We start from the raw sequence: 10,174 nt of genomic DNA, 5'->3' as shown, positions 1-10,174 counted from the left end.
GCATGGGGAGGGTAGCTTTCCTTCATGAGGTGTACGGCCTTTGTAACTGCCTATGGTTGGGCCTGAAAAATGACACATAGAAATTTGGCATGGAGTCTGACTCTTCAAGTAGGATGATTTGCTCCACTGGATACCAGAACAATGTAAAGCTACGATAATTAGGAAAATCTGGTATTGATGAAGGGAGAGCCAAATAAAGCAATGGAACATAACAGAGAAACTAGAAACAGATCCATGCATTTTTGGAAAATTAATTAATGACAAATTGGCACTGTAGAACAGTGGGAAATGACAGGCATTCCCATAAGTGATGAAGGATGAAAAGAATATCCATATGGAAAAGAATGAAATTAGACTTTACCTCACTCAGGCAGAAAAATAAATTTCAAATGGATTACAGATATAAATGATAAAGCAAATTAGAAAACTTTTTAAAATGGTAGAGATTATCTTCATGATCTTAAGGGAGAGAAAGAATTATTCAAAAGACACAAAACAAGAAACACATGAAAGAAAAAGATTGATAAATAGGACTATATTAAAATTAAAAATGTATATTCATCAAAAGACATCATTAAGAGAATAAAAGGCAAGCTATAAAGATGGAGATAATATTTGCATCCTCTATGAAAAGAGCTCATATCCAGAATATGTAAATAATTCCTATAAACATGTAAAAAAATTGAACAGGAACTTTCCAAAAGAATACCAAACAGTAATAAGTAAGCAAGCAAGCTAACCTACTCTTAGTCCAAGAGATGTCACCTCATCTTTCAAGGTTACTAGCTCCATGACAATAAAAAGTGGCCTGAGTAAGAGCTGCCATGCCCTTGCAATGTTGGCACACCCAGCAAGACATGTAGGAGTGCAAGGCCAAGGAGGATGGTCTCTCCCAAAAATGGTACACCGAGTTACAACATAAAATGGGTTTCTTACTGCACAAAATGTTTGAAGAAACACTGGCCTAAAGAATATGTTTCATACTTCTTAGTAGAACAAAGAATGTCTGGTCTGGTCATAATATACTACTTTCACATGCATATTCTATGATTCTTGAAATATAATCAAGGTCCGTGAAAACTTCCTTCTTTACCCCCAGATGCACTGTGCTTTTTCACATGCTATTCTCACTGTACCTTCCCTCATTCTTCTGTATCATGTGGCTCAAGAACTCATTCTTTTCCTCCAAGCTTTCGTCCTCCTCCAAAGCCTTTTCAATTGTTTTCGTGAGTCATTGTTAAACCCTCTTCAATGCAAAGTACTCTACAAATCCAGCGGCTTTATCACAGTATTTGTTGTTTTCTATCTACTCTCTTCTCCCTGTCACCAAATAGTCTGCGAGCCTCGAGATTAGGGTGCTTTTTTCACTTATTTTTGTATTCCTAGCACCCGGCACAAGACCCAACCTAAAACAAATAATCACTAATACCTTACTTTGAGCTCAAAAGTAATAACCACAGTACACATATCCTGATCGCTTAATGGTTAAATTCTTCAACAAAATAAATTTATTTTCAGAAATAGCTCCTCCTTCAAAGTCTTCAGAATACCACTCACTGCTTAGTATTTATAGTTGTGCTGGTTTGGAGTGGGATATGGCGTCACTTTCAGTGCTGATCCCAAAAGGGTGTCCTCCACCCAGATGACTGTCTGTAAATCTCCATTCTAGAAACAAACCAAGATAGCTGGGGTTAGAAAGGTAAACACTAAAAACATTGAAGGTAACAGCACAGAAATGGGGTGACAGGTCAAATCAAGGAAAACCTAGTCTCCTTCAATTGCCAAAGACAGGAAGAAGCAGTGCAAAAGAATTCACAAATGAACTCAGCAAAGCAAAGAGAACTTCCTGAAGCCCTTCACTTCTGCTGTAAGTACAGTATGTGTTTTACCTTCTCTAATGTGCCCCATTCCCTGAGTGAGGTCCATTTCCTCAACGTGAGCTCCAGAACCATGATCTTCTTTGCCTTCAATCCCCATATCCAGGCCTTGGGCAGGGCTGTAGGCACTACTCCAATACCAGAGGCTTCATCATGTGCTTTTCCATATGTGTCTCTGACCTTAGTGCCTACTGGCCACAAGTTGGCTCAGAGCTTCATGAAGTCCAGTGTGTTTTACAGCTGACTTGCCTGAAGTGCTGATTAGGATAATTCACGGAAACTGTGCATCCCTTTGCAACACAGAGCCTCTTTCTGAGAAGTGAACACCATTTCACCTTCCCAGAGAGTGTTCTCTATAATCTATTCCAAATGTGAACCACCAAAGCTATCTGCAATTTCTATCGATTTGGCACATCTTGAACCTAACATGAATTAAATTTCAGGAATAAAAAATTTCAGGACTATTACTCAGGAGGGAGAAATCATTGTTAAAATAGAAAAATAGCCTAACCCGGTGGCTCATGCCTATAATTCCAGCACTTAGGTAGGATAAGGCGGGAGGATCGCTTGAGCAGGGGAAATGGAGACCAGCCTGGATAACATAGTAAGACCTTGTCTCTACAAAAAATAAGAAATTAGCAGGCATAGTGGTGCACACCTGTAAAACCAGCTATTTGGGAGGCTGAGATGGGAGGATCACTTGAGCCCAGGAAGCTGAGGCAGCAGTGAGGTGGGATCACACTACTGCACTTCAGCCTGGGTGATAGAGCAAGACCCTGTTTCAAAAGGAAAAAAAGAGGAAAAGAAAAATAGTAACAAAGTAATTTTAAAGTCCAGATTTCTCTCCTGAGTTTCACATGTGCAAATACAGGCTTTGGGGATTAGTGTTAGGAAGTTAGATTATGGTCTGGTGGACAGCTCTAGTGGGAGTCCCATAGACACAGCAAAAACATTTTCAAAATCAAACTCACCTCTCAAATCTGAGCACTCTTGGTTGACATTAGGTATCAAGCTTCACATAGTCATCCTAAAACCAACACTGACCTCGAAAATTCCCCAAGTGTCCCATTATTATATCTCTGAGCTTTTGCATATATGACACCACACACAGCAGTGACCTATGCAGCTATGAGCAAGGATCAGAAGTCAGAAACACTTAAATCTCCTTGGGAAGTTTTTGTCTTTGTTTTGTTTGCATTGGTTGAGGAACCTCAGTCAAACTCAAAGGCTTATTGAGTCAGTAAGTCAAAAGGTTTAAGGCTTTTTGACTATGCAAGAATCACCCTGAAAAATTATCTATTGGGATTCCTACCTAAAGATATGCTCTAACTTCTGCCAAGAAGTCGCACACACATCTAATCATCCTAAGAGCATAGCAGTACATCAAAGGCAAAGAAAGATAAAAGGGTTGGTATTTTCCAGATTCAACTAAGGATATGTCCTTCCTCTCTCACCAATTGCTTCCAATTTCAAATCTAATGTTTTATCTATAACACCAACAGCAAGAAAACAACAACAAAAGTCTTGCTCATAAGAGGAAAATGTTTGAATTGCTAGTTTGCTCTAAGCCAACACAAACTACATTATATACTATATGGTTTTTAAATGGCTTTACCTTATGAGTTGCAAAATTACCTTCTCAGAAGTAGATGTGATTTTAGAGCCTTAGAAACAATGCTGATGGAGTTACTTTTGAGTGACTTCTCACTTCAGTATTTCAAGGGTGAAGTGTCAATTAAGGCATTAACTTTAACCATACTCTTCTTTCAATGGTATCTTCCGATGTAACAAAAGCCCTTTGGAATATATTTGCCACATAAATCACTGATGACACTTTCCTTTGGCATGTGTTTTCTGGTGTTTAGTAAGGTTAGAACTCCCATGGAAAGCTTTCCCACACTCTTCACACTCATACGGTTTCTCTCCAGTATGGATTCTCTGGTGATGAATAAGCGTTGAGATCTGGCTGAATGCTTTTCCACACTCTCCACACTCATAGGGCTTTTCTCCAGAGTGAATCCTCTGGTGATTAATAAGTGCTGAGTTCACATAGAAGGCCTTCCCACATTCCTTATACTCATACGGCTTTTCTCCTGTATGGATTCTCTGATGCTTGATGAGGGCTGAGCTCACACTGAAAGCTTTTCCACACTCATCACACTCATAAGGTTTCTCACCAGTATGGATTCTCTGATGTTTGATAAGGTCTGAGCTCACACTAAATGCTTTGCCACACTCATTACATTCATAGGGTTTCTCTCCATTGTGGATTCTCTGATGTATAATCAGGTGTGCCCTTACACTGAAGGCTTTCTTACACTCATTACAAGTATAAGGCTTCTCACCAGTGTGGATTCTTTCATGCACAGTGAGGGTTGAGCGCACGCTAAAGGCTTTTCCATAGTGATCACACTCATAGGGTTTCTCTCCAGTGTGGATTCTCTGATGTCGAACAAGGCCTGAGCTCTGGGCAAACTTCTTTCCACATTCATTGCATTTATACCGTCTTTCTTCCATGTGCCTACCCTCATGCCTTTCTAACTGGTCCTCATACTGAGAGACTTTTTCATACTCAGGAGTTTGTAAAGTATCCCCATTATATATGCTAGGGACCTTCTGGTGTGGGTCCATCCTTAGAAAAACCTTCCCTTCAGAGCTGACACCTTGTTCACACCTCTGGCCTTGATTCCTAAAATAATAAACAGATCTTTGAAATGTGCTTTATTCCCTGTTGCTAAAGCAATATAATATGATACAGACTAGAGCTCTCAAACACATTCAGTAATCCCAGGACAAACCAATCATATGGCACTCACATAAAATGTTTTCACTCAGCCTGTATCATGTCTCAATAACATCAAATAACTGTTGGAATGAATATCTGACTCAAACGGCTATTTAAATATATCTTCATGGCACACGCCTATCATCCCAGCTACTTGGGAGGCAAAGGCAGAAGGATCACTTGAGTCTGGGAGATTGAAGCTGCAGTGAGCTATGATCATGCCACTGCACTCCAACCTGGGCAACAGAGCAAGATCCTGTCTCAAAAAATATAAATGAATAAATAAAATATCCTCTATAAAGTCATCTAAAACATACATATACAATCCGGAATATAAATGAATATAAAAATAATATATAGTTCCTACTTTTAAATGCGAATCATATTTAATTAAATTGGAAAACAAGACAGAAACGCAAGAGATTTGCAGATAGAGCAGATGAAGGAGTATGGGAATAGAAATGGCAACAGAAACAAATTCAACTGATAAGAAGTTTGGAAAAATGACAATAACACCATTAACAGGTATGTTTTACTGCCCACAGAAGTCCATACTATTTGAGATGGAAGAGAGACACGGGGACCAAAAAAGCTCTGTTCATTGCTATGCCACTACTATTTCTGCAGCTGTTGTTGCTATGATAAACAGTATCTCAGCAACAAGGATCCTTTGTCTCTGCTGGAACTGTGACAGAATAAACCCCTCACCTCTCCTAAGAAAAGGGATGGCTGCTACTTTCTTGGGAACAAACCCAGTTTTGTGTCTAAACTTGATAAAATTTTTGCTCCCAACTCAAATTACACTAATTACCCCTCTCTGCCTTTTTCCACCTTACAAATTGTTTTATGTCTTGACAGTTATAAGTTAACAGTGTGTACCCTTGATATAATGAGAATGGCACTTCACCTCTGTGGTCTTCCTCCCCAGAACATATAACCTCAGTATAATAATGACAAAAACAGTTAAATCCCAATTGAACGATATTCTACAAAATGAACAAACAACAATATCAACAACAAAAACCAACACAAAGCAGAACTGAGGATCCAGGACCAAGAGAAAATAAGGTCTCCATTCCTGCACCCCACTCTCGGAAATTTAGCCCTGTCAGAAAAGCAAGTCGGAGTCACTCCTGTAATTAGGAGTCTTAAGAGCCTCAGAGACAGCCAAGGACAGGACTCAAGACATCAGCCTGTCCCAGCCATCCTCCCTCCCAGGGTTTCTGAGGGTCTACTCTGCCAGTGCAGAAGGGCCAGGCAGGAGATGGGGTAGTGAAGGGAAAGAAAAATAAGAGGGAGGATGATGAAGAGGGAGGAAAAGGGAGGAAAGAGAAAAGAGGAGGAGTGTGAGAAAGTGGGTGGAAGAGGGGAGGGGTGGGAAAGGATGGAGGGAAAAGGCAGGCCTGAGGCGACCTGGCGCAGTACACAGTTTCTCCCATCCTCCGAGGGTGTCCACTCCAGGGCACACGCAAAACTCTAGAAGAAAGTCAAGAGGGAACTCACCTGAAAAACTGAGATTAGACTATCTGACCAAGCGACTGAGGACAGCTGTCGGCCTAGAAAGCTTGACTTTGACTTCCGTGGATCCTGCGCCTGGGCATCTGGTCATCTACTCTAGGATCCTGGAGGCTTCCCTCTCAGGGATTTGTGAGTTGACTAGAATGGACCATGTGAAGAAAGGATTGCTTACTCCCAAGAAGGCATTTTATGCTTTTTATCTCATTTAATCCTACAGGGCAGACGTTAAAGTCCTCCTCTCATATATATAAAAACTGAGAAGCAAATAAATTTTCCGAGGTCAGGCACCTGTTAAAACAGCCAAGATGAAATTTCAATCTAGGGCTTGCTTCCCAGATTAAGCCACTTTACAGCTTCTCAGGGTAGTATTCAGCCAGTAATCTCCAAATTAATTTGTAAATTCAACACTATTCTCATGAAAATAGAAACTTTTTAGAAGATTTTAATGTTCACCTAGAAGACTAAACATGCAGGACTACCTGGGGAAACTGAGGAAGAAGGGCACTTGTCCTAAAGAACTTACTTATTATAAAGCCTTAATACTTAAAGTGTGTAGTACTCATGATAATGGTACAGAACAGAAGGCCCAGAAATAGACACATAAATTTAGCATATGATAAAGGTAGCAAATGAGTTAAAAAAAAAAAAAAAAGTGAACTCTTCAAATGCATGGTGAGAACTGGATAACCATCTGGAAAGATGGTAAATTAGATTTCTACCTTACTCTATAAACTAGGATATATTCCAAATAAACCAGTTTTACATGTTATAAATAAAACCATAAAAGTACCAGAGGAAAACATGAGGTGAGTCCTTTATAACCTCAGAATAGAAAGGCCCTCCTCCTGGCCGGGCGCGGTCGCTCACGGCTGTAATCCCAGAACTTTGGGAGGCCAAGGTGGGTGGATCATGAGGTCAGGAGTTTGAGACCAGCCTGACCAACATGGTGAAACCCCGTCTCTACCAAAAATACAAAAATTAGCCAGGTGTGGTGGTGCGTGCCTGTAATCCCAGCTACTCAGAAGGCTGAGGCAGGAGAATCGCTTGAACCCGGGAGGCGGAGGTTGCAGTGAGCAGAGATCGCACCACTGCACTCCAGCCTGGGTGACAGAGCGAGACTCCATCTCAAAAAAGAAAAGTCCTCCTCCTTATAAGCCAATATCCAGAGATCATTAATGAAAAGATTGGTAAACTTGACCCACATAGAATAAAAACTCCTGTGAGGTAAAACAAACAAACAAAAGCACTTTAAGCAGTCAAAGACAAAAAAATGGAAATATATTTACAATTTCTATTTCTGAAAACTGGCAGCCAAGATGAAGTTCCTGAACGATAAAAAAAAGTGTAAACGGCAGGTCAGAGCTGGATTCTCTCCTGCTCCAGCTTCACTCTGAACTTAATCAGACTCTGCTAAGCATTCACAACTCACTTATCCTGATCCTGTCATACAGCAGTTGTTGTTAAGTCACCTCAGGTCCCTTACTTCCAGAATCCCCAGAAGACCACAAAACATCAAAGTTTAGCACAACTCTCCTGTAGAGGGAAGAGTCTGTCATTAACACTTCAGTGGCATATTCCTGGGTGGCACTAGAGAATAACTATCTTATTCTCCCTCTGCTTCCGGAGCTGGCATTTCTTGCCTATTTCCTGACTGTATCCAACAGCTGGGGCCAGAAAAAAATTAAACACATGAATTTATCAAAGAATCGCTGTGGAAATGAATAAATCAGCAGAACAGGCTAATTCCAGGGAGGTAAGCAAAGTAAGAAATAATTACAACAAATACCTGGATAGCACTTCCTATGTAGCAGGTACTGTTCATGTAATCCTCATAACAACTCTAGACAGGTGCTTTTATTATCCCCATTGACAGATGACATATAGGCACAGAAAGATAAAATGACTTGGCCAAAATCACAGGTAGTGTGGCTTCTGACTTACGTGCTTAAAAAGTAGGGGAAAAAAAGGGAAGAATCCCTAAGAGATCAAAAGTTGTAAGATGGTAATCTCTCTCCCCACCTGCTGTCTGGATTCACTCAATTCCTTGAAATCATCCAGCTTAGCCACTTGCCCAAGGAAAATCCTCCCTCCCCTGGCCAGTGCTGTTCCCTCTCCCAGACCTGGTGTTCCTCAGGATGATCAGGAACTGGCCTCAGCCACTGTCAACTGGGCTGCTGGAGCCAGCTTACAGAATGCTGGCCTGTGGAGTTTTCTCATTAACAGAATCCTTGGAACCAGCGAAACCATCTCCTCTAAAGATGCAGTCATGCAGCTTTTCCTGTAATTGACGAGTTTTCAGGAACACTTCTGTAAAAGAAACATTTTACTCAAAGAAAAAGCAAAGATTGCCATAGGTGTTATACTACTAAGGGTTATGGGGGGAAAGAAGTGCAATGTTAAATAAGGAGCTAATTTGCAAAGGGCTCTCAGATCACATGCTGGGGCAGCAGGTCTGCAGTGGTAATCTTCCCCGTTGCCTTTAAGCACTGCTTGGGATAGTGGAAGGGCTCATGAGAGAACAGCATTAAGGTTGCTGTAAGGTGGTCCTGGCGTGGATGGAAGTGACTGCTAAAGGGAAGGGTAGCCATTTATTGCCAAGCTGAAGTAGAGAGAAAATAAATTCTGCATTCGAAATGAAATGTCACGGGCACAATTAAGTGGTGGAAGAAGCCTCTCCTGAATTTAGAGCACCGAACATTTATTTCCAATTATTTGCATTTTCCCCCTTTTGTTTGAAAAAGAGAGCTGAAGATCTGGTGGGCAGTGATACCAATTGGTACCAGAAGCACACTTGTAGTTGGCACTCAATGAAGCTCTGAAGACGGCAGTAAAAACCAGGGTTGTAACTGAAAGGGAAGTAGTCCCAACTCTGGGCACCTGCGGCACTAAATCTCGAGGAAAAACCCTTTCCTGGAAGACTGCATTTGGATACAATCCCCACCGTCCCAGGATGGGTTGCCTCTCCTGGAGTTCCTGCACACATTCCACCCAGGCAGGCGCGGAGAGACGAGGTCTGAGGGGTTGCAGCTGTGCAACATCCACCCAAGCGACACCCAAATGCATACCAGCGTTTCTCTGCCTGTGAGCAGCAACCAGCTCCGAGGCCTCGCCTCGGGGCGGAAGTCCCTCTCAGTACTTCCGGGGCGTGTCCCGGAAATTTCTGGGCGGGGCCTGGCTGCGCCCGAGGTTGCCAAACAGGGGTTGAAACCTCCACCTGTCCCCGCCGCGGTGTAGGCAGGGTCTAGCCCGGGAGCGATTTGCTCCGGCCCGTCGGCAATGCTCAGACTTCCTACCTCACCTCTCTCGAAGGTTGATTTTGCTTCCTGAGTTTTATCCAGGGCAGGACCACCCGTGTATGTTGGAATTTAAAGATAGTGCAGTTGGTGAAATTTCTCGTGTGGGCCCTACAGGATCCCTTAAAGCGACACACGGGGCCACAGAACTCTGGTCTTAATTATTAGTGATCTGAAAGCCAACACACTATATCCTGTGTGCTTTCTCAAAGATTAGAGACAAGAACCAAGAACAATATTTTCAAAACATGACTGCGATACTGCAAAATTTCTCCGGCTATTCAATTATTTATGAAAGAACTTAACTCAAAGCACTGTAGTCAGTAAATATACTGGTTTGGATATAAAGATGATAAAAGGAGTAATTCCTAAAATGAATCATTACAGGTGGAGGCACAAAGTTTGAATCCATCTTATGGCAGAGCATGAATTAAGAATATACAAGGGTCACACCTGAGGGCATAACTAGGGGAGAAAAGAAATGGGCAAAGCCCCAGGAAACCTAACCAAGTGGCCTCTTTGAGCCTCCATTTACAGAATAATGGATTGGAACACTAAACCTAGCATTCTAAACTATGAATATTTAAATATGACAGAGCAAGCAGTTATTTCTTTGGTATATTACACATTTAAACTGATTTTCTAACTTGGGTTGAACTTTTGAGACCTCTGTCGCCCAGTGGCATAATCATAGCTCACTG

At 41.7% G+C, this 10,174-nt stretch overlaps 1 pseudogene across 1 annotated transcript, besides 1 other annotated feature; it reads right to left on the bottom strand.

Moving 5' to 3' along the window:
* Positions 1–1,471: 1,471 nt before the first annotated feature.
* Positions 1,472–9,306, bottom strand: ZKSCAN8P1 (ZKSCAN8 pseudogene 1; annotated as a pseudogene). Its single transcript, NR_103448.1, has 5 exons — positions 9,246–9,306; positions 8,301–8,487; positions 6,166–6,318; positions 3,513–4,566; positions 1,472–1,665 (listed from the first exon to the last, which is right to left on the bottom strand). The product of NR_103448.1 is annotated as a ZKSCAN8 pseudogene 1 (transcript).
* Positions 9,214–9,263: an enhancer, noted in NCBI's record as "active region_24347". NCBI's record gives its function as "activates an Ori minimal core promoter by ATAC-STARR-seq in GM12878 lymphoblastoid cells {active_cell/tissue: GM12878}" and the evidence as "EXISTENCE:reporter gene assay evidence [ECO:0000049][PMID:35858748]".

Source organism: Homo sapiens, chromosome 6 (assembly GCF_000001405.40).
Source record: "Homo sapiens chromosome 6, GRCh38.p14 Primary Assembly".
NCBI classification, from domain to species: domain Eukaryota; kingdom Metazoa; phylum Chordata; class Mammalia; order Primates; family Hominidae; genus Homo; species Homo sapiens.
This window is presented reverse-complemented; position numbering and strand designations above follow the sequence as displayed.